General features: G+C 35.8%; 1 protein-coding gene across 60 annotated transcripts in view; it reads left to right on the forward strand.

The window, feature by feature from the left end:
• FIP1L1 (factor interacting with PAPOLA and CPSF1) overlaps positions 1–24,892 on the forward strand; it is an 83,222-nt gene that overhangs the window by 28,899 nt on the left and 29,431 nt on the right. For 34 of the 60 annotated variants that reach the window (NR_164848.1, NM_001376744.1, NM_001376745.1 and 31 more), the window contains 3 exons: positions 8,076–8,183; positions 19,333–19,426; positions 21,488–21,644. Coding sequence is in view for 57 of the 60 variants with exons in the window: in NM_001376744.1 (NP_001363673.1) it covers positions 8,076–8,183; positions 19,333–19,426; positions 21,488–21,644 (359 nt within the window). In the remaining 3 variants the exon portion in view is untranslated. The remainder of the gene's footprint in view (positions 1–8,075; positions 8,184–19,332; positions 19,427–21,487; positions 21,645–24,892) is intronic. The other 26 variants (XM_047416211.1, NM_001376759.1, XM_047416212.1 and 23 more) reach the window with 4 other exon arrangements.

Raw genomic sequence — 24,892 nt, forward strand, 5'->3', positions numbered from 1 at the left:
GATTCCCTCTTTTTCTATTGATTGGAATAGTTTCAGAAGGAATGGTACCAGTTCCTCCTTGTACCTCTGGTAGAATTCGGCTGTGAATCCATCTGGTCCTGGACTCTTTTTGGTTGGTAAGCTATTGATTATTGCCACAATTTCAGAGCCTATTATTGGTCTATTCAGGGATTCAACTTCTTCCTGGTTTAGTCTTGGGAGGGTGTATGTGTCGAGGAATTTATCCATGTCTTCTAGATTTTCTAGTTTATTTGCGTAGAAGTGTTTGTAGTATTCTCTCATGGTAATTTGTATTTCTGTGGGATCGGTGGTGATATCCCCTTTGTCATTTTTTATTGTGTGTATTTGATTCTTTTCTCTTTTCTTCTTTATTAGTCTTGCTAGCAGTCTATCAATTTTGTTGATCTTTTCAAAAAACCAGCTGCTGGATTCATTGATTTTTTGAAGGGTTTTTTGTGTCTCTATTTTCTTCAGTTCTGCTCTGATCTTAGTTATTTCTTGCCTTCTGCTAGTTTTTGAATGTGTTTGCTCTTGCTTCTCTAGTTCTTTTAATTGTGATGTTAGGGTGTCAATTTTAGATCTTTCCTTCTTTCTCTTGTGGGCATTCAGTGCTATAAATTTCCGTCTACACACTGCTTTGAATGTGTCCCAGAGATTCTGGTATGTTGTGTCTTTGTTCTCGTTGGTTTCAAAGAACATCTTTATTTCTGCTTTCATTTCATTATTTACCCAGTAGTCATTCAGGAGCAGGTTGTTCAGTTTCCATGTAGTTGAGCGGTTCTGAGTGAGTTTCTTAATCCTGAGTTCTAGTTTGATTGCACTGTGGTCTGAGAGACAGTTTGTTATAATTTCTGTTCTTTTACATTTACTGAGGAGAGCTTTACTTCCATCTATGTGGTCAGTTTTGGAATAGGTGTGGTGTGGTGCTGAAAAAAATGTATATTCTGTTGATTTGGGGTGGAGAGTTCTGTAGATGTCTATTAGGTCTGCTTGGTGCAGAGCTGAGTTCAAGTCCTGGGTATCCTTGTTAACTTTCTGTCTCGTTGGTCTGTCTAATGTTGACAGTGGGGTGTTAAGTCTCCCATTTTTATTGTATGGGAGTCTAAGTCTCTTTGTAGGTCACTCAGGACTTGCTTTATGATTCTGGGTGCATATATATTTAGGATAGTTAGCTCTTCTTGTTGAATTGATCCCTTTAGCATTATGTAATGGCCTTCTTTGTCTCTTTTGATCTTTGTTGGTTTAAAGTCTGTTTTATCAGAGACTAGGACTGCAACCCCTGCCTTTTTTTGTTTTGCATTTGCTTGGTAGATCTTCCTCCATCCTTTTATTTTGAGTCTATGTGTGTCTCTGCATGTGAGATGTGTTTCCTGAATACAGCACACTGATGGGTCTTGACTCTTTATCCAATTTGCCAGTCTGTGTCTTTTAATTGGAGCATTTAGTTCATTTACATTTAAAGCTAACATTGTTATGTATGAATTTGATCCTGTCATTATGATGTTAGCTGGTTATTTTGCTCGTTAGTTGATGCAGTTTCTTCCTATCCTCGATGGTTTTTACAGTTTGGCATGATTTTGCAGTGGCTGGTACTGGTTGTTCCTTTCCAAGTTTAGTGCTTCCTTCAGGAGCTCTTTTAGGGCAGGCCTGGTGGTGACAAAATCTCTCAGCATTTGCTTGTCTGTAAAATATTTTATTTCTCCATCTCTTATGAAGCTTAATTTGGCTGGACATGAAATTCTGGGTTGAAAATTCTTTCCTTTAAGAATGTTGAATATTGGCCCCCACTCTCTTCTGGCTTGTAGAGTTTCTGCGGAGAGATCTGCTGTTAGTCTAATGGGCTTCACTTTGTGGGTAACCCGACCTTTCTCTCTGGCTGCCCTGAACATTTTTTCCTTCATTTCATCTTTGGTGAATCTGACGATTATGTGTCTTGGAGTTGCTCTTCTCAAGGAGTATCTTTGTGGCGTTCTCTGTATTTCCTCAATTTGAATGTTGGCCTGCCTTGCTAGATTGGGGAAGTTCTCCTGGATAATATCCTGCAGAGTATTTTGCAACTTGGTTCCATTCTCCCCGTCACTTTCAGGTACACCAATCAGATGTAGATTTGGTCTTTTCACATAGTCCCATATTTCTTGGAGGCTTTGTTCGTTTCTTTTTATTCTTTTTTCTCTAAACTTCCCTTCTCACTTCATTTCATTCATTTGATCTTGCATCACTGATACCCTTTCTTTCAGTTGATCACCTCGGCTCCTGAGGCTTCTGCATTCTTCACGTAGTTCTCAAGCCTTGGTTTTCAGCTCTGTCAGCTCCTTTAAGCACTTCTCTGTATTGGTTATTCTAGTTATACATTCTTCTAAATTTTTTTCAAAGTTTTTAACTTCTTTGCCTTTGGTTTGAATTTCCTCCCGTAGCTTGGAGTAGTTTGATCGTCTGAAGCTTTCTTCTCTCAACTCGTCAAAGGCATTCTCTGTCCAGCTTTGTTCCGTTGCTTGTGAGGAACTGCGTTCCTTTGGAGGAGGAGAGGCACTCTGCTTTTTAGAGTTTCGAGTTTTTCTGCTCTGTTTTTTCCCCATCTTTGTGGTTTTATCTACTTTTGGTCTTTGATGATGGTGATGTACAGATGGGTTTTTGGTGTGGGTGTCCTTTCTGTTTGTTAGTTTTCCTTCTAACAGACAGGACCCTCAGCTGCAGGTCTGTTGGAGTTTGCTGGAGGTCTACTCCAGATCCTGTTTGCCTGGATACCAGCAGCGGTGGCTGCAGAACAGCGGATTTTCGTGAACCGCGAATGCTGCTGTCTGATCGTTCCTCTGGACGTTTTGCCTCAGAGGAGTACCTGGCCATGTGAGGTGTCAGTCTGCCCCTACTGGGGGGTGTCTCCCACTTAGACTGCTCGGGGGTCAAGGGTCAGGGACCCACTTGAGGAGGCAGTCTGCCCGTTCTCAGATCTCCAGCTGCGTGCTGGGAGAACCACTGCTCTCTTCAAAGCAGACAGGGACATTTAAGTCTGCAGAGATTACTTCTGTCTTTTTGTCTGTGCCCTGCCCCCAGTAGTGGAGCCTACAGAGGCAGGCAGGCTTCCTTGAGCTGTGGTGGGCTCCACCCAGTTGGAGTTTCCTGGCTGCTTTGTTTACTTAAGGAAGCCTGGGCAATGGCGGGCGCCCCTCCCCCAGCCTCGCTGCCACCTGGCAGTTTGATCTCAGACTGCTGTGCTAGCAATCTGCGAGACTCCGTGGGCGTAGGACCCTCCGACCCAGGTGCAGGATATAATCTCCTGGTGCGCCGTTTTTTAAGCCCATTGGAAAAGCGCAGTATTAGGGTGGGAGTGACCCAATTTTCCAGGTGCTGTCTGTCACCCCTTTCTTTGACTAGGAAAGGGAACTCCCTGACCCCTTGCGCTTCCTGAGTGAGGCAATGCCTTGCCCTGCTTTGGCTCGCCCATGGTGCGCTGCACCCACTGTCCTGCGCCCACTGTCTGGCACTCCCTAGTGAGATGAACCCGGTACCTCAGATGGAAATGCAGAAATCACCCGTCTTCTGCGTCGCTCACGCTGGGAGCTGTAGACCGGAGTTGTTCCTATTTGGCCACCTTGGCTCCATCCTTAAAATCCACTTTTCATCGCACATCACAGTCAGATAGAGGAATGGTTCATTGTTGCATAGAGTAAGAGAAGACAACACTTCATGAGGATGATTTTTTTGATTTTCGGTCAGCTTATGAGGCACCCACTTAACTGAGCTTTTTCACCTTTCTGATTTGCTTCAAATGCCTAACAACTGTAGAATGGTCGTTGAGTTCTTCGACAGCTTCTCGTGTAGTTGTAAGAGGATCAACTTCGATGATTGCTCTTAGTTGGTCATTGTCAACTTCCAATGACCAGCCAAGGTTCTCGTTTCCTTTGTAAAACTTCTGGAACTACCACTGCACTGTATGCTCATTAGCAATTCCTGGGCCAAATGTGTTGTTGATGTTGCGAGTTGTCTCTGCTGCTTTATGACCCATTTTGAACTTGAATAAGAAAATTGCTCGAATTTGCTTTTTGTCTAACATCATTTCCATAGTCTAAAATAAACATAAAATAAACAGCAAGTAATAAGTCATTAGCAGAAAAAATAAAGAAATAAAACGAGAAATGCCCATTAACATGATGTGTAACATAACTATTTGTTTAAGAATGTATTCCAGTATCAAACTGCAGATCCCAAAAGTGCAAAAACCGCAATTACTTTTGCACTCACCTAATTGTTCTCTTTTATTATTGTTAATTTCTTACTGTGTTTAATTATAAATTAAATTTTATAGGCATGTATATATAGAAAAAATCATTGTACATATTGGGTTCAGTACCATCCTCAGTTTCAGGCATCCACTGGAGGCCTTAGGATATATCCTCCACTGAGGGTCTTAGAATGTATCCCCCAAGAATAAGGTGGGGGGGGCTGCTGTATATTTTCAACTTTTCTTGAAATTAATGGCCATGGGTTTAAAGTGTGACAGTCTTGTCGCTGCTTTTTGGGTGTTTCTCTGACTCTTGTTAGGTATATGAGTGTTTATGAAGGTTAGCTAGAGTTGGATTTAACAGAGGTTGATGTATCAGGGAATTATAAAAAAGGGATGAAGGGGACAGGTACATGAGCATTTACTTGAGGGAGTTATTGTAATGATGGGCCATTGGCTAAGAAGAGATGGAGGGCAAATATAGGTAAGGGACAGCTGAAAGGAGGTAAAGAAAGGATGGAAAAATTAGCAGGGCTATCACTACTAAAAAACGAAAAATGAATAATTACCACTGCTACCTATAAAAGTTACCTAAGTTGTCAATACTGTCACTTTCGTACGTAAAGGACAGTAGCCACAACTCATTAGGAAAGTTTGTTTTCTGGATTCCATTTGATAAAAAGGATACTTTGCAGTCATTGTGAAATATTTCCCATAAAAGTATTTTTTTTGTTTTATTCGTTATATTTATGGAGATTGGATAGACATCTTTGAAAGTAAAATTGTATTGACCTTAGGGAGAAAACAGTAAATGTTATTCATAAAGATATAATACAGGGTGCACAGTAGATGTTTAAGACTAATGAGCTGTGCTACTGACCTAAGCACTGTATTTCCATTGTTTACAATCTTAGATTGCCTTATTAATGTATATGTAAGTGTTGATATGCTTGCACAGAACTTTTAAAAATATTTTTTCGTACTTTATCAATAGAAATGCTGGGTTTCCAACGTTCTGTAGTACCCATCAAATTGGCACTGTTAAGTAAAATTTTATATTTAATATATCAGAATGCTTTGCTTAATCTTTAAACGTTAGCATCTTAACTTTTTGTGAAATACATACATACAGAAAAGTGGCATATCAGGAATGTACATCTTGGTTAAATTTTTACAAGCTAAACATACTTTTGTAAACCAGGATATAGACTGATAGAACGTTTTTATTACCCCCAAAAGTCCCCATTATGCCTCCTTCATTTGTTGTTGTCATTGAAAAAAATAAAGTTTTATTTTGAAAAAAATTTAAACTTACAAAGAATTGCAAAAAAAAGTACAAATAACTTCCATATACTGTATCCAGATTTTCCAGTTAATAACATTTTGTCATATTTGCGTTATAATTTCTCAAAAACATTTTTCTTACTGAGCCATTTGAATATTAATTGTAGGCATCATGCCCCTTTACCCTTAAGTACTTAAGCATGTATTTCCTCAGAACGAGGACATTCTGTTAGATAATCATACGGCAGAGTTATCAAAGTCAGAAAATCTAATAGTGAATCAGTACTTTCATCTAATTGCAGGCTGTAAATTTTGCAAATTATCCCAATATCCTTTATGGCAATGTTTTCTTTCTTCATGGATTTAGGACTTAATCCAGTGTCACGCGTTAAATTTAACTATTTTATCTTTTTGTTTTTCTTAAATCTGGATCAGCTTCTTAGCTTTTCTTTGTATTTCTTAACATTGAATTTTAGAAGAGTACAATCTAGTTGTTGAGTTAATTGTTCTTGGTTTTGCCTGATATTTTCTCATGATTAGATTCAGGTTTTGCTTTTTGGGCAGGAATACTATGTAAGTGATGATGTACCCTTCTCAGTGTATTGGCTTGGAGATACAGGATGTCAGTTTGTCATGTTATTTTATTAGAAATGATAATTCTAATGCCTTAGTTGTGATGGTGTCCTTTGGGTTTCTGCACTGCAAAGTTGCTATTTTTTCCTTTGTATTTAATAAGTAATTTGTGGAAAGGCTAAATATCCTGTTCCTCTTCAAACTTTTTAGGGATTTTAGTGCCAGTGATAATTTTTTCTTTAGTCAGTTATTACTGTAATGGCTGCAAAATAGTGATTATGTAACTCTTATTTCTCTTAACATTTATTAGTTGGCATTCTACTTTAAAAATGAGCTTTCCCACTCCGCCACTTATCACTTAGACTCATAAATTCTTATTTTATGTGTGAGAAAGTGTGTATGTGTGACTTACAAATGTAGCTTATTTGTATACATGGTGTTTAAACCGTATGTATGATTTATATATACTGTAATTCATTTTGATGTGAACATCAGATTGTTCCTCTTCAAACTTGCTCTGTGACCTTTGATATGTCTCCATCATGTTTTTTTTTTTAGGGTGTTTTTATAGTTTGGCATTACCAGGATGTTCCAGGCTTATCTTGTAGTTTCCCTGTTTCTTCCTTAGAAGCAGCCATTTTCAAAGGCACTCTGATTCCTTTTAGTGGGGAATGGTAATTAAAAAACAAGATCAGGGTGCTAGCTGTGCTCCTTATACTAGGGCATCCTTATTTCCAGGCCTTTTCAGCACTCAGAGCTAGGAAAGAATTAGCATTTTCAAGATGAAATTTCCATGTGTGTTTTTTAAAATACATTTTAGTCATGAAATCATCATGTTTCTTTTACTTCCATTTGAACATCACAGGATTCTTATTCCTATTTCTCTTTCCCTATTCCATATTGCATCTCCTTTTTTTTCCACAATGAGAACGTGGCTCCCAGAATCTTGAAATACACATATAACAGATTCAGAACTTTTACTGTTATAAGAAAACCTATTCAGTAGTTTAGGATTTGTTTACAGTTTTTTCTTTGTCTCTTTTTAGGCTAAGGGTATATAATTCAGATATTGGGTTCAGAAGTTTCCTACAGAGTTGTTATATTAAGAATTTAAAATATATAATTTGGTTTATTGTGTCTGTTTGTATGCAGTTTTAGCATTTATTTTTCCTTCCATGTTCACTGATTTATTTTTTGCATATGTAAAACATCTAACAGTTCGAAAGGCAAGAGTATCCAAAGGTATATAGAAACTTGTCACATCTTTCTCTGTTTCTTTCATTCCTGTCAGAACAGATTTCATTTCGTTTCTGGTTTGTTTTTCCTGTGTTTCTTTTTACATAAACAAGCAGATGCATAAACATGTATATATATCCTGTTGCTTTGAAAGAGCATCTTATTAGTTCTGTAAAGTATTGGCAATATTGCAAATATCTGAACTTTTTATGAAGTATGTCAACAGGGATAAAATTAACTTTTTTGGGAACTTTACTTTGAAAGAGTTATTTTGAAAGGGATTTTTTATAAAATAGTATAGGTTTTTATGAAACACGTCAGAGTGTTGCTGTTAACTGGTTGCACTAACAATACTTATATCCATTGTTGAAGAATATAGGGAAAGAAATACCAAAATTTTTAGTAAGATTTTGTAAAATTGCAAAAATTAATATTAAGAATTCATAGAGGCACAGAAATGTATTTTTTGATTAATGTATTGTAACCTGATGTAAATCCTTAGTTCTTTTCTCATTTCTGCATTGACATCATACTATGTTGAAGAATATTTCTAAAAATATTCTAGAGTTAAGAAAGTGTTGATAGCACATCTATATTTAAATACTTAGTACCACAGCAAGTAGTTTATATGACTTGAGAATGATACTGTAGGAACATACTAAAAGACTTTAGAAAAAGCATGTCAAGAAAAAAAAAAAAACAGAACAAGGGGGGTCAGAGACAACAATATGTAAGAAAAAACATAGAAAATTTATCTCACCAGAAACAGCACTTCTTCTCAGTCTCAGACAAGTACTGCCTCCAGAAAAGCCAATTCAAGCGTTGGGAAGTGGCAGGATCGATATGGGAGGGCCGAATCACCTGATCTAAGGTAAGGCTATTTTTAAACATTGGATACTCCCTGATGTTTAGATCATCAATGTTGTTATGCCTTATTAGTAAGATAATAAATTTTGACTGTACCATATTTTTACCCTCCAACTTATGCTTTTTCAGGGTACAGTTGTAGGTTTTTTAGTTACCTTATAAATCAAAACCCAGCACTTGTCTTGCTACCCATCTTTCTGGCTGTTTATAATATTTAATGAATTATATTGAACCGTGCTAATGGATGCTCAGTAATTTTTTTTTTCGTTCTCTTGCTGCAGGTTAATTCTTTCTCATACCACATCGCATTTAAAAAAAATTCCCAGGTGCTTTTCACTACTTATCGAATAAAACCTAACATTCTGAGCCAGTATTTAGGACCCGTAAAATTTGACTCTACTGAATCTTTCCAATCTTATACCCACTACAGTGCAAAAACCCCTGATTTCATTAAGCAGACGTAGTAGCTGCCCTGGAATATGCTATTTCCCTTATTGTTGTTATGCTTTTGTTAATGATCTACCCTCCAGTGAATTTTGGTTTGTGTTCTGAATCTTAAATTTACACAGCATACAACCTCGAATGGATATTATAATTTCTCTGAGCCTGAAAATTGAAATAATAACTTCATCTTTAAGGGATGCAATGAGAAACAACTATGTTCCAATATGAAACTACATTACTTGCAGTGATCAATCTGAGAGATTGTGCTTTGATAACCTGACTTCAAAATACAGACCAAGATACTTTCCTAATTTATCATTTGAGGTTTTAAATAATTATGATATACAAGGGGTAATTTTGTTTTTTGTTTTTTTTTTTGCTTTTGTTAGAGAATTTTAAGCTATTTACCTGGTTAGCTCAATGCTATATAAATATGTTTGCAATTATTTTAATTTAAAAACTTAAAAAATACAAATGTAAATTATGATCAGATACCTTTGATCATAACACCTAAAAGAAAAGGGAGGAAACACTATCAAAATTTGATTTTCTTATGTTTCATTTTCTATACAGTCTTAATTATATGTTCCACATGAGTTGTAAGTATTTCCTGTTAGGAAAGAAGTTAGTCATTCTTAAAAGTGGATATACATCTCAAAGTAAGAATGTCTAAACTGTAAGTCTAGCAACTAATGTAGATAAAAATATATTAGCTGCATTCTTAGAGTAGTGTCAGTTGCATGTGTTGCTTTAGAAGGTTAAGGAAAGTTTTCATCTTATTATTTTGAAAGTACTCATTGATTTTTTAAATCTATGTATTATATAATATTGATTTATCTTTGTTTTCGAACACTAAAATTCTATTTGAAAAACCAGTAGAAATTTCAAGAGTTATTTTAAATAAAGAAAAGTTAGATCTGACAAGTGTAGAATGAAGTGTATGAGTCTTTTCACATACAACATTTCCATGGAACCTAAAAGTTCATAATTGTACTAATACAACTTCTATGTAACAACTAACTCAATTATTGCATAGAGAAACACTTGGGTTTATATTTAACCTGGCAGTATGGACAGCCTATTTACTGAACCTAAAAGGGCCAGACAACAAGAACTTATAAATTTATCATGCTATTGGTAAAGAAACTTAAACTTACAATTGTTTTGTTGCATAAGTATTGGACTTGGATTTTAGGTTTAGTTTTGTCAGTAACTACCTGTGTGAATTAAGGAAAGTTTCCTAACATGCCTATGCCTCCATTACCACAATCGTAACATAGTGGAGCTAGACTGTGTAATTCGGAAAGCCTCTTCAAACCTGAAACTCTTTATTTTCTGACTAGTCCCTGGTTTACAATGGAAACTAGTCCTTAGAGATTTGAGAAATCAGAGAATTTGCCCAAATTCACAGCTAGTTAAGAGGCAAAATCAGGACTAGAATACCTGCTTTTCTGGCTTGTAGTACCAATAGTTCAGGCAAGTCAACTTTCATAGACAAAGGCATAGAAATACTTAAAATAGGCCAGGTGTGGTGGCTCACACATGTAATCCCAGCACTTTGGGAGACCGAGGCAGGTGGATACTTGAGGTCAGGAGTTCAAGACCAGCCTGTCCAACATGGTGAAACCCTGTCTCTACTAAAAATACAAAAATTAGCCAGGCATTGTCACAGTCACCTGTAATCCCAGATACTCAGGAGGTTGAGGTGGGAGAATCACTTGAACCCGGGAGGTGGAGGTTGCATGACCCAAGATCATGCCACTGCACGCCATCCTGGGTGACAGAGTGAGACCCTGTCTCAAAAAAAAAGGAAATACTTAAAATATGTTATTTTCAATGTAATTTTAAACTTTGTTTCTTTGGCTTTGTTTTAACATCTGGAATTCCTTTTATATCAGCTATTTGACTTAGAAGTTTTTATTTAAAATTGTTTTACTTTAGATATAGTACTTTACTTTTGGACACCAGATGGCTAATTTATAGCGAAAATGTTGTTTCCCATACCTGAAAGAGACACATCTCAGTGCTTTATGTATAGCAACTCCATCTATACCTACTTCTCTCTAAAAAAGATGCTCTGGAAACAAAAAAACACCCTTCACTTTAACTTTGTAATTAGTCTCAAGAATATATGTGGAAGGAAATTTGAAGCTGTATTTTCATTACGTGTTTTGTGCTTTAGAAAATTCCAAAAATAGCCTGGCTGTGGTGGCTCATGCCTGTAATCCCAGCACTTTGGGAGGCCGAGGCAGGCAGATCACCTGAGGTCAGGAGTTGGAGACCAGCCTGACCAACATGGAGAAACCCCGTCTCTACTAAAAATACAAAAATTAGCTGGGCCTGGTGGTGCATGCCTGTAATCCCAGCTACTCGGGAGGCTGAGGCAGGAGAATGGCTTGAACCCGGGAGGCGGAGGTTGCAGTGAGCTGAGATTGTGCCATTGCACTCCAGCCTAGGCAACAACAGCAAAACTCCTTCTCAAAAAAAAAAAAAAAAAAAAAAAAGAAAAGAAAATTCCACAACAGATACCCTGGATAAAAGCTACTTTTTCTCTTTGCTACTTTTTCTCTTTTTAAACACACACACACACACACACACACACTCTCTCTCTCTCTCTCTCTCTCTCTCTCTCTCTCTCTCTCTCTCTCTCTCTCTCTCAGGCTACTTTTTCTCTTTTAAAACACACACTGTCTCACTCTCACTCTCTGTTAGTGTAAGAAAAACTAGATTCCTGCTCTTGTAGTTAATGTAACTGACAAATGTGGAGTTTGAGGCATTGCTTAAATGTTTGTAAAGAGCAAGTAAATAATGATTAAGATGTTTTTCGTAAGTTATTATATTTGGGCTGGGCGCTGTGGCACATTGCCTGTAATCCTGGCACTTTGGGAAGCTGAGGTGGGTGGATCACTTGAGCTCAGGAGTTTGAGACCAGCATAGGCAACATAGCAAAACCCCAACTCTACCAAAAATACAAAAATTAATTGGGCATGGTTGTGTGCACCTGTGGCCCCAGCTACCTGGGAGGCTGAGGTGGGTGGATCACTGGACAGGTGAGGCTGCAGTGAGCTGTGATCGTGCCACTGCATTCCAGCCTGGGTAATGGAGCCCAACCTGGTCTCTAAATAAATAAATAAATACATAAATAACAGTTATTATATTTGAAGTTGTGGCCTTATCATATGCTAGTTACTATTAATTTGTATAATACAGTGTTTTCCCGATTTTAACAGTATTCTTCAAGCCAAATCTGTAAGTGTTTTTCAAACTTTAACAGTATTCTTCAAGCTAAATCTATATGTATAACAGTGGCATTTTATTGGTGTAAGTTTGCTTTATAAAATCAAATTTTTAACTCTTGTGAAACTAATTAGAAGAGTGAAGCAGTTTCAGTGAGTGCAGGAAATTGAAACTGGTAATATGGATGATTGCTGTAAACATATCCTAATGCACAGTTTATTTTTTTATTTTGTTTCCATTTTATGTTACCAAGTTCTGTTCCTCTTAATTTTCAAGTGATAGTTTATTTTTCTTAAGCTTATGTTCCTATATTACAATGCTTTTTAACTGATTCATACTCTTGAATGAATAGTAAAAATTGCTTTTCAATGTTAAATCACGAATACATTTAAACATGCATGTATTTCTTCTATTAAACACAATACTTATAATAAAACTGGACGTTAAATGAATATTATATCTAAGAATGACCTCTTCCTCTGACTATCTCCTTTTATGTCTTGATGAGACACTGTACTGAAAAGATGTGCCCATACCTTGGGGCATTTGATCAAGTGCTCTGAATGCATGTTGCTATAGTGTGTAGTTTGTAAGATTTTATGTTATTGGACATATGAAGGCCTTTGGGGTTTTTTGTTTGTTTTTTTAAGATTCTTGTAGAGCTGTGTCTTTTCCTATCATTGATACATTTAAAAGCATGAAATTAAGCATAAATATGGAAGGTAGAGCTTTATTCCAAGCTCTGTACAAAAGTGAGTAAACTTGTTTGCACTTTTGAACACACTTATGTCCTCCAGTGAGTGAAATTTGGGCTTATTTCACCTTTAAACATTCAAGGTTTTTTTGTTTTGTTTTAAATAGAGCTTAAAAATTGACATTTAAAAAATTCAGACCCCAGAAAATTAGTATGATAAACACTGTTGAAGAAGAAGGGAAGGGGTTTGAAGTTGGTTATGCTAAGCCTGAATCCTAGTGCTGCCACTTTACAATGCAAAAGAGCCTCTTTCCACATCTGTGAAAATGAAACTAATTGGATATGTACTTTACTTTTTATTTTTTCAAGACAGAGTCTCACTCTGTTTCCCAGGTTGAGTGTAGTGGTGGGATCATAGCTCCCTGCAAACTCGAACTACCAGGCTCAAGCAGTCCTCCCATCTCAGCCTCCCGAGTAGCTGGGACTACAGGCATGCCCACCATGCTCGGCTAATTTTTTATTTTTTGTAGAGATGAGGTCTCACTATGTTGCTCAGGCTGATCTTGATCTCCTGAACTCAAGTGATTCTCCTGCCTCGGCCTACTCCCAAATCACACCTGAGATTACAGGTGTGAGCCACTATGCCGGCCCCATATACCTTAAATGTGATGTACTTGTAAGGATTAAATAAATTCTAAGCTGTGAAAGCACCTATTTCAGGGCTTGAAAGATAAATCAGCCAGGCGCAATGGCTCACGCCTATAATCCCAGAACTTTGGGAGGCTGAGGTGGGCGGATCACCTGAGGTCGGGAGTTCAAGACCAGCCTGACCAGGCCAGGCGCGGTGGCTCACGCCTGTAATCCCAGCACTTTGGGAGGCCGAGGCGGGTGGATCACGAGGTCAGGAGATCGAGACCACGGTGCAACCCCGTCTCTACTAAAAATACAATAAAAATTAGCCGGGCGCGGTGGCGAGCGCCTGTAGTCCCAGCTACTCAGGAGGCTGAGGCAGGAGAATGGCGTGAACCCGGGAGGCGGAGCTTGCAGTGAGCTGAGATCGCGCCACTGCACTCCAGCCTGGACGACAGAGGAAGACTCCGTCTCAAAAAAAAAAAAAAAAAAAAAAAAAAAACCAGCCTGACCAACATGGAGAAACCCTGTCTCTACTAAAAAAAAAATTAAAAAAAAAATAGCTGGGCGTGGTAGCATGCGTCCGTAATCCCAGCTCGGGAGGCTGAGGCAGGAGAATTGCTTGAATCCAGGAGGCAGAGGTTGTGGTGAGCTGAGATCGTGCCATTGCACTCCAACCTGGGCAACAAGAGTGAAACTCCATCTCAAAAAAAAAAAAAAAAAAAGATAAATCAGACACTCAGTGAGTGTCGGATCTCCTCTTTCATCATGGGCTTTATCAGTCTCTTTAAATGTAGTACTGATAGAAAATAAATTGTATGTCCAGAAAAGTGTTTTGAATTCTGTGATTTTTATTTTAGACTAGGTTCTTTTTCTGGGCGGGATTTTTCATTAATAAATTGTTACTCGAACATTAGAATATATTTTCTTTATAAATTGTGTATATACTGTAGAGAAAATTATTCTTGTGCTTGTGGAAGTAAAACGTACACACAGGTATAGAAACAGTACCATTTCAGACCAGTCATGTTGCCCGGGCTGATCTCGAATTCCTGGGCTCAAGTACCACAAAACTAAAAGATCTGTAGAAAAATATGTAATCAATGATATTCTTATGTTGATGGATATGACTTTAAATTTTTCTTGAAATAAATATTAATTTTTTATGAGCTACTTTAAGTTCTTTCTGGAGGGAACAAAATGTCTAGCAGTCTCTTGAACATGCCCTTAGATTTGTAGTCTTCAACTTTGACCATATTGGAATTACCTAGGAAGCTTCAAAAAAGTATTGATGCTGGGTCCCAGAAATGTAATTTTAAATAGTCTGGTGTACACCCTGTGCATCAGGATTTTGATATGCAGGCAAGGTTGAGAACCACTGATTTAGAGCCTTGATTCTGGGTTGGCATAAAGATTAAAATCAAATGATAGCTAGGCACCTACGGTTTTGAAGTAAAATGATAGATGTAGTTACAATGGGAGCTGATATTTGTATAGCATTTTACAGCCTCACAGTCTTTTTCTTTATGTGCTTCTCATTTAATTTACATTTTCTGCCTCTTTGAATGTCTTTTGGTTGGTAACCACTATCAAAGGTGCATGATACTTCTGTTGCAAGCAAATGGATAGGTAATATATTTGCCACGTAGAAATTGTGCACATATCTACCCCTCTCCATCTTTTCTCTATGCTCATAGTTGTCCCTCCATCTGAAATGTTCTATCTTCCCATCCTACATGTCTTTTAAGGCTCATCTCTTTCCTAACGTAGCTTAAAAGATGCTACACAATTTCCATGCAGAACTGTTTACAGCCATCTATTTACATATGTGACCTGAATTAAATGTCATAACAAGTGCATCTCTTTTCAAGTTGGGAATATGAGATAGCCACATTCTAGGCTTTTTCTTAGCAAATGGACCTTTGAACTGTTTGCTGCCCAGTTCTTATTAGAAGCCCTTCTGTGAGAAAACATTCATAGATGTCTACATTGATATGTGATTCACCCATTCTTTTAGAATATGGTTATAAACTTTCAAGCAATAATTCAAGCAATATTTCAAGCAAAATAATTTGAAAATTTGCTATAAACTCTGGACTTTTGCCTGGAAATTGCATCTATACATATCTATTTATTTAGAAATCAGGGACGTCCTGATTCTTCTTTAGAGAACCATGTTGCTAGTTAAGAACCTGAACTGTTCTCAAAAGCACAGTTACATTATTAGATCAAGCCTAACCATTAAGAGGGCTAGATACACAGACCACGTTGTTTTGCTTCCCCTGATTAAATTGCTCTTATTGAATTGGGCATTGTTGTGCTTCACTCAGCATTAAAGGGCATTTTGAGAAATAGCTCTTTAAAATTCAATTTTTTTTGGTAGGAATTTTGGAGACTTTATTTCCATATTTTTGAAAACATGAGATTGCAATCCATTAGTGGGTTGTGAAACAATTTGGTGGTCCCAACCAGTATTTCTTGGTTTTGTATTGTTTCTTTTGCTTTTTTCCTATGCTATATTTAAATATTAATAAAATTACATTTTATCTTAGTGTCACCATTTTTCCTTTTTTAAGTATTGTTTCATGAATCTTTTTTAGTTTTTAATGTATTGTGGGTACTGGATTGCTGTGTAAAGTGTACTTCTTACTGTGTTTTGTAGTCAATAAAGTTTAAAAACTATTGTACTCATATTTTCTCTTAGACTCAGAGGAGAATCTTTTTCTGTTTATTCTCATTTGTAAAATGACAATAATGAGAGTTGCTACCTTATGGGTTTATCATGAAGACTAAATATATATAAAGTATTTAGAACAGTGCTTACCTTGCGCATAGTAGGTGCTCCATAAATACTAGCTGTCATTACCAGGAAAACAATCTTAGAGCAAATGCTTTGTTTTAATCTTAATGCACATTAAAGACATTTGTTGTTAATGATGTCCTTTGCTTTGGCTTCCAAGAAAAAGCAGCTGAGATATATATATATGTATATATATATATTTTTTTTTTGAGACAGGCTCTTGTTTTGTTGCCCAGTCTGGAGTGCAGTGGCACAATCACAGTTTACTGCATCCTTCATCTCCTGGACTCAAGCAATCCTCTCACCTAAGCCCTCTGAATAGCTGGGACCACAAGCATGTGCTACTATGCCTAGCTGATATTTTAAATTATTTGTAGACACAAAGTCTCGCCATGTTGCCCAGGCTGGTCTTGAATTCCTGGGCTTAAGTAATCCTCCCGCCTCAGGCTCCCAAAGTGTTGGCATTACATGCGTGAGCCTGACCTTCAGAGATCAATTTATGGCCTTTTGTCTATCTTCTATTAGCCCTGATTTGTCATCTTAAACTTTCTGTTGCATCTCTGCAGGGAGCCCTCAGATTCTTTCTGGGATATCAGAATCATCAAAATATGATAATTTAATTCCATTGTAACTTCAGAGATATTTTTATATTCATTTACTGTGCCAGGAGGGGAGGTAGAGGCTCTTGGGAACATTTACTGCCTGTTTAAACTGTACATTAACTCAGACACCCAGAGTGGTTAGTTTCTTAGCTTTTTACTAGATGGTTGAGTCCAATATGGAGAAGAGGATTTTGATAATAGCATTAGCTGTCTACCTTACTGAACAAGTTTGTTGGCCTAATCAAACCTACGCTTTGGGGAACTCTTAAGTTACAGTAGATTTCCTCATAGGGAAACTCTATTAAATCTTCTTAAGCAATGAAAGAAAAAGCTGTCCATTAAGAACTTTCGTGGAATAATATGGTTCAATATTTTTTTCCATAATGTGGCATCAGAATAATATTAGATTTTTAAATTATTTGTCAGTGTTAGATATTATGTGCTTTTTGTTGCTGTGGTACATACTGTGTGTCTTATCATAAAACATTTTGGAACAAAACGGTAAGCTTAATTTATATGATTAAAGTAAATCAGTTTATGTGGTTAAAAAATACGGGCACAAGGAGATGTTTTGAAAATGTGGAGAATTGTAATTTTCTGAACTCCCTTTAGGGATATATACTTGTTAAGGCTGATTTCTCAGTTATATGTTTTTAGAAACATAGTATTTGCCATTTTGAATCTTTAGTGATTAAAAACAATCAATTTAAAGTTGAAAAAAACTAATTAGACTTCTGACCATATTTAAGGTACATTTTAAGAGGTGAATACTTCCATGTGTCCCAGACTTTTTGAAAACTAGAGATCCTCAGAAATAAATGGTAAAAGACAGGCTATAGAAAATTTTCCCCTCAACAGGAAAGTTATATCTAGATCTAATTTTTACCACTTTTAACAATTTGGAGAATTTGCTATCTGACTTGCAAGTCCAAACAAATTTGGTAGAATTTGTTCTTGATGGGAATAAATTTAAAAATGCAAAGGAGAGAGTCCAGTGATTGGCAAGAGAAAATAGTAGAAAAGGAAATAGAGCGAAAATAAAAATTTTGACAATGGAGGGCAGCAATTAACAGAGAGGAAATTACAGCCTCAGAATGCACACCTGTATTTAGTAGGATGTTGGAATATGAAATGTTTGTATATCAGAGGGCTGATGGCATGTGCTTTGATAATGCAGTCATGGTAGGCATAGCTTTGCAATTTAAATTATAGGGAAGAAATGGAAGCAATATTTGTTTTATTGTAGAGATATTTGGATTTTTGTAACATGTGAATATTAAGATCTTTCCCCAGCTGTATTGGAGGATATGTTAATCCTCCAATGAAATCATTCATGATCTTTGGGATCATGAGGAAATCTAGGAAGTCAGTGACTCAGGCATAAAATTAGAAAGGCTTGAACATTTTTAAATTGTACTAAAGTTATAGAGAAGGGAAGTCTTAAGTGGGCAAGGGATGGTAAGTGGGAACTGACTATGTACTTGAAAACATTTCAGATGTCATGATGTGCTTTTTATAGGGCTGTCTTTGTTAGCACAAAATAATTTGTGGAGTGTTTCAAGGTCTACTTGAGATAAACTCTTACTAACTCATGATTTCCAGAAAAGCCTTAAATTCCTCAAAGGTCTTGCTGGAAGGAAACCTAGCTCAAGGGGAGGGGAGGTCTATAGTCTTTGGGATTAGAAAGACTCAGGTTTGAAAGTTAGTTTTGCTATTTAATTCATGCTTGTGTCAGTGATTTCACTTTGGACCATGGCTTGTCTCTAACAAGTATACAGTAATTTTTCAGTTTTTGTGAAGTTTAGATATAATGGGTTTGGCATCCAACCTATGGTAGCTGCTGTTATTTGTCATTTTAGGAGCCTAATCTAGTGACTGTGGAAGGATCTATGGTATTTTAATTGTTTTGCTTCTATAAAGTTTTAAAGGCAGTATTGTTCAGAACTGAAATATAGATGAAGAGAAATTCATCTAATTTGCATCCACTTTTCATTGCCTATTTCTCCAAGTGACTTCTATATCATCTTAGGCATGCATACTTTTGTAAAGTCCTTTATCTGCATAATAGCTTTTAACATTATTTTATTTAAAATACAACTTACTAGGTTTTTCTCTTAAATTTATAGCATTGTTTTATGATAGACTATTTTTCCATATCCTTATAAACTTTAAAAAGATTGTAGAGGTGAGGCGGGTATTTAAATATTTGAATTTTTCTATCTAAATGCAAGTTATCAGAAATGGCAAACTGGTTCCTTTTTTATGTTTTTTAACACTTGGAATATATCACAAGGAAAATATCTTGTGTATGTTAAAATGAGCATTATTTTCAGGCCTTTTTGGGGAATATTTAAAGTTTCTGTAATAGAGCTGTAGTATGTGTTACAATTGTAGTGGTCCCAAAATTTCCATTTGTCTAGCATTTGCTGTCTTATTTAATTTCACAAAGATAAATTTATTTGGAGACTACTAAAACTAGTAAGTGTAGAAGAGCTCTACAGAGACTTAAAACTTAACATTATGATCATTGTTGGGTATGTTGGTTCTAGCTTGTTTATTAATAAAAATTTTTATGACAATGCAAAGTAGTGAGCTTAAACTCAGGGATATTTTTCAATGTGTATTGTGATCTGGTTTTATTTTAAAATTTATTGCAAACACATTTTGTTTTTATTTCTCACTGCTTTTATTATTTTTTAAGCATCTAATTAGGTGAAACTGAATTGATTCAATTTTTATGTTACAGGAGATTACCTGGGGCAATTGATGTTATCGGTCAGACTATAACTATCAGCCGAGTAGAAGGCAGGCGACGGGCAAATGAGAACAGCAACATACAGGTTTAGTATTTTAAAATAAATAATTTTCTTTAACTGAAGGATGATATCAACATTATAATTTAATTTATTCAATAGATAGTCATAGTGCTATGCTGTGTTTTAGGTGATACAAAGAGATTTAAAATGTGAAGCCAGTCATTTATTATAAAGGCATTTCCAGTTAGAATTTATAATCTCTGAATCTTTTTTTAATAGGGTTTTCTTTCTTTTCCTTGGTAGAAACATAGTACAGGTTGAGTATCTCTTATCTGAAATGCTTGGGACCAGAAGTGTATCAGATTTTGAAATGTTTGGATTTTGAAATGTTCATACGTATGTAATCTTAGAGATGAGACCCAAGTCTAAACATGAAATTTATGTTTCATAAATAAGTTATTTAATTTGTTATAATGATTTGTTAATTTATGATAATCTTTTTTCCTTTGGCAACCCTGAGTAAACTGTGTAGTGGGCCTGAGTTTTGATTGTGATCCGTCACATGTGAGGTTGGGTGTGGAATTTTCCACTTGTGATAAAATGTTGATGCTCAAAATGTTTCGGATTTTAGAGCATTTCAGATTTCAGATTTTTGGATTAGGAATACTCAACTTGTATATAGGTTTACTGAATGAAAAATAAAAGACCACCAGTGATTTTACCACCTAAAGATAACCACATCTGGTACATCTCTTGATACTAAGCAAAATTGGGATACTATTATAATTATATTTCTGTGTATACTTTTTTCCCCATCTAAAATTATCATTTGTATGTTTTCATATTCTTAAAATATGATTAAAATATCTTCATGATAGCTTCATTGGATAAATATACCATGATTTATTTAATGTGACATTTCTGGAGGTGGCGTAGAGCTGCTTTGTTTTTAGGTGAAAAATTGAGGGGAGATAAATTATCAGTAAGTTGGATAATTAATGTTAGAACTTTAATAACTGAGACTTCCAGCTATTCATTTTGGCCATACTTTTTTTCATTATTTATTCCTATTTTCTGAGTCCTTTTAAAAATGTCCAGAGCACTTTATTCTTACCTTTGATAAGTTGATCATGTAAAATATTCCTTTTAGCATCTTTAAAGGCAAATCATTTCTATAGTGGAAGATGTTAGTCCATTTTTCCTTTCCCCTTACCATTAAAATGCCACGATTTCTCAAAATAAATACTTTAAGAAATAGCTTATCAGCATAAGCCCTACAAAAAACACTGCACTTAAATGTAGGAAGTGTTAATGGAAAGAGGGATTGTATGTTTAAAAGATTGCTTTAGTCAGCAAGGATCTGAGAAGTATAAATTAAATATACAACATTATGTTGGCTGTCTTTCCCAAATTTATTTACACATCCTTGGGGAGCTTATCAAAAATCCAGATTTTGAGGTGCCACTTTGCTTGTTTTATTTCAGTAGGTTTGGGGTGCTTCTTATGGTGCCTGTCCCTTAACCTGTTCACACAAAGAAGCATTTTGCAAACATTGCTTTATTTTTCAAGAATAAACCCTGGTCTTAAAGTTACAAGGCTCACATGATAAAGTTACTTACATATCTTGCTGCCTATTGCTTGCAGTCTGTTGACACATGCCTGACAGTTTCTTACTTTGCAACCTGGTGATGACAGGCCCTTGTACAGTGAATGTCTGACCTGCTGCCATGTTAATTTCTTAAGGCCAGTGTCTGTGATTAATGATTACATTGCCTTAATTGAATACTTCAACTTTGGTTGGGTGACAAAGATAATACTTGTTAAATGATCTTTATGAAGTACTTTTTTCTTGTGTGGAGTGTTTGTATTAATTACTTTTTATTAAGAAATTTTTGGTAATGATCCAGTTGTTTTTTCTTAAGATTTGAATATGCACATTTTTAAAACTGTATGTATGTGTATACTCACACAGGCGTATGTATACACATATCACACATGTAGAACTATTACTCTCCCCCCAAAAATACATATATGTGAATTAAACTACCTTTTACTTTGTTTCTTAGATTAAATGAAATTAATTTACTAAGATTAATCTTACATAATATTTATGCATCTGTTTAATTAACTGTGCTCTAATTTTAGGTCCTTTCTGAAAGATCTGCTACTGAAGTAGACAACAATTTTAGCAAACCACCTCCGTTTTTCCCTCCAGGAGCTCCTCCCACTCACCTTCCACCTCCTCCATTTCTTCCACCTCCTCCGACTGTCAGCACTGCTCCACCTCTGATTCCACCACCGGGTAAATAGTAAATAAGACATTTGACTTTGAAAGAAAAATAGCTTGCGAGTGTTTTTTAAAATTTTTGACAATTAAAATAATATCTTGATCACATTTCATTAAAAGTAATAGATATAATATCTTCAACAGATTCACACTGAAACAGATATATATATGTTTATTGCTATTTCAATATAGGAAAGAGACAATGTTCTAAAATTAAGAAGAATATACAGATACCAATCTTGTGATTCAAAAATATGATAATGATCCCCAAACTTAAGTTGCTAATAGAATATGTATAAATCCATACTCAGTTACAAACTTTACCAGTGTTAATTTGTTTTGAAAAAAACATTAAAAGATACTTTCAGGATGGGAGTAGATCAAAAAATTATATCTTGCGAAGAGATTGATTAATATTTCAGTCTGGTCTTCTTCTGTATACCGGTTTCCTTTTAGGAGACTGCTACTGGGTGCCTGGTATTTATTTCTTTTAAACAAAAGTAAATGTTGATCATATTTTTAGCTACTTTTGATTACAATTAAAAACCAGGTTAGTGGTGATAGAGAAGAAACTCACAAATAATTCCCAAATTTTATTTTTATTTGAATTTTTCATCGGGTTGCCTTTCTTACTTTGTTTTTAACCTTTATCTGCCTTAACCAAGTTTTTATGAAACTAGCAAGATTGATTGAGATAATAATTACTTCTTCCCAGGGAGAAAGCTAGTAGTAAATGATGAAAAAATAGCTGCTTGTCCTCATCAGGGCAACATGAAAGACGTATGTTAGGCTTTACTTCCTATTAATCAAATCAGTTTATACTAGAGAGCCATGTACTCTCACTCACTTTTATTTGCAAGAGAGCTGTCTTTGTTTTAAGGTGCCAGTTGTGATCCGAGTACAGAACCAAATCCAGGGTCTGAATAGTCCTTCCCTAACATATTCATCCTTGGCCTCTAAATGTCAGCCACTGCTTCTGTCTTTCATCTTCAGTGCCTTTGATTTCCTTCCACTGTCACCTCTACTCTCAAAAAGTATGAGAAAAATATGAAAAAATGACTTGTGGCTTTAGAGGGTCTGTTGTCTCAACAATAGTGGAAGGAAGAGGTTGGAATATAGGTTAGAGGTCCTTATTCCAGACAACATTAGTATTTCTAATTTCAGTGAATTTCTAGTTCCAACAAATAGATTGAGCAGAAACGACTCATTAGTTGGGATTGACTTGTGGTTCTTGTGTCTTTAATATGCTGAGTATTAACCAAATGAAAGAGGACTTAGGTGATTCAAAATGAGGACTTCTGTGATTTCTATGTGAATCCTTTGTCCTCTGAAAAAGAATTAGATAAATAAAAGGTAGAAATAATTAATGTTTCAACATATTTGATTAATGATACTAAAAAAATTATTAATGTTTGTGGTACTCTGTTGGATTCCTTTGTAATATTACTTAAACTTTACTAGGTAGTGATTTGAAATAATTTTCTTTTTTTAATTCTTAAAACTTTTTAAAAATTTTATTTTTGACAGTAATACTTGTATATGTTTATGGGGTACAATGTGATGTTTTGATTATGTCTACATTGTAGTAAATCAAGTTAATATATTCATCACCTCACATACTTAACATTTTTTTGTGGAGAGAACATTCTGAAATCTCCTAGCAGTTTTGAAATATACGGTTATTAATTATAGTCACCATGCTGTACAGTAGAGCTCCAAAACTTGTTTTTCTCATTTTACTGAAACTTTTGTATCCTTTGAAAATCATCTCCCCTACCTCACCCGTGGCCCCCAGCCTCTGGTAACCACCATTTTACTCTCTGCTTCTATGAGTTGGATCATATAAGCGAGATTGTGCAGTAATTGTCTTTCTGTGCCTGGCTTATTTCACTTAGCACAGTGTCCTCCAGGTTCATGCATGTTGTCACAAATGACAGAATGAAAGGATTTCCTTATTTACAAATATAGTATATCCCCAGATGGCTAACATTTTGTATGTTCAGTACTAATTATTAAAGTAAGTAGGACAGAGTTGGTATGAATTAATGACAACAAATACTTAGCTGGTATAAGAATATTCGAAACTCCGTAGAATATTGCTACAGAGGTAATTGCTACACATAGGCAGTAGCATTATCTGGAAGTTTACTTTTTTTCAAAATGATAAAATTACTTTTTTTTTTTTTTTTTTTTTTTTGGAGACAGGGTCTCACTCTTTCGCCCAGGCTGGAGTGCAGTGGTGCGGTCTCAGCTCACTGCATCCTCCACCTCCCAGGCTCAAGCGATCCTCCTGCCTCAGAGTAGCTGGTACTACAGGCGTGTGCCACCATACCCGGCATTTTTGTATTTTTTGTAGAGATGGTGTTTCGCCATGTCCAGGCTGGTCTTGAACTCCTGACCTCAAGCAATCTGCCCTCCTCGGCCTCCCAAAGTACTGGCATTACAGGCATGAACCACTACCCCTGACCATTTCTTTTTCATGTAACCTTTGTTCATAAGTATAACAAATCTTTGAAGAGTGTTTAGGTTATTAATGACATTATACTATAGAGTGCAGCTAATTATTTTTCTGTTGCTTAATCTATTTTTCTACTTAATTCTCAGCTACATGCTTTCCATATTTTAAAATCGAGATTTCCTTTTATGTTTATTCTTGGTTTACATTTCTATGCTCTTCTGTCAACATTTAATGAGTGCAGATTCAAATGAATTCTAATGCTGGTTTAAGCAGTACCTAACTGGTATATGTGCTGAGCAGGATACCAGTTCATTAAAACCAAATATTTGAAGTTGAGACTCTCTGAATTGCTCCTTACTTTTAGTAGAATGTGAGCTGTTGGGGAGCGTACAGGCTATGTATTTCTATCTATGTTTCCCTACAGTTTTAGTCAAGTGGTCTTGTACGTACTTGGCATTCCCTAATGTGTTTGCTAATTGAGTTAACGACATATTTATGTATCCATAACACCAAAGATGATTTTCGGATTTATACCTGGTACATTCAATCAGGATGGGCACTGGCTCTGAATAACAGTACGGCTGCATAGATATATGCCAGCTGCCATGCTTAAAGCTGTGGTTTTCAGTTACCCTTTACCACAGAACCACATGATTACACTATGTTCCGTAGTTTGTTGTAATTTAAATCACCTTAAGAATCATAAGCAGCTAATGAAAGAAAGCTATGATTCAGGATTCTTTTTAAAGTATTGCCTTAAAAGATATTCCATTTTTCTTAGATAAACTGTCTTGTTTTTTGCTTT

This window comes from Homo sapiens, chromosome 4 (assembly GCF_000001405.40).
Source record: "Homo sapiens chromosome 4, GRCh38.p14 Primary Assembly".
In the NCBI taxonomy this organism is placed as follows: Eukaryota; Metazoa; Chordata; class Mammalia; order Primates; family Hominidae; genus Homo; species Homo sapiens.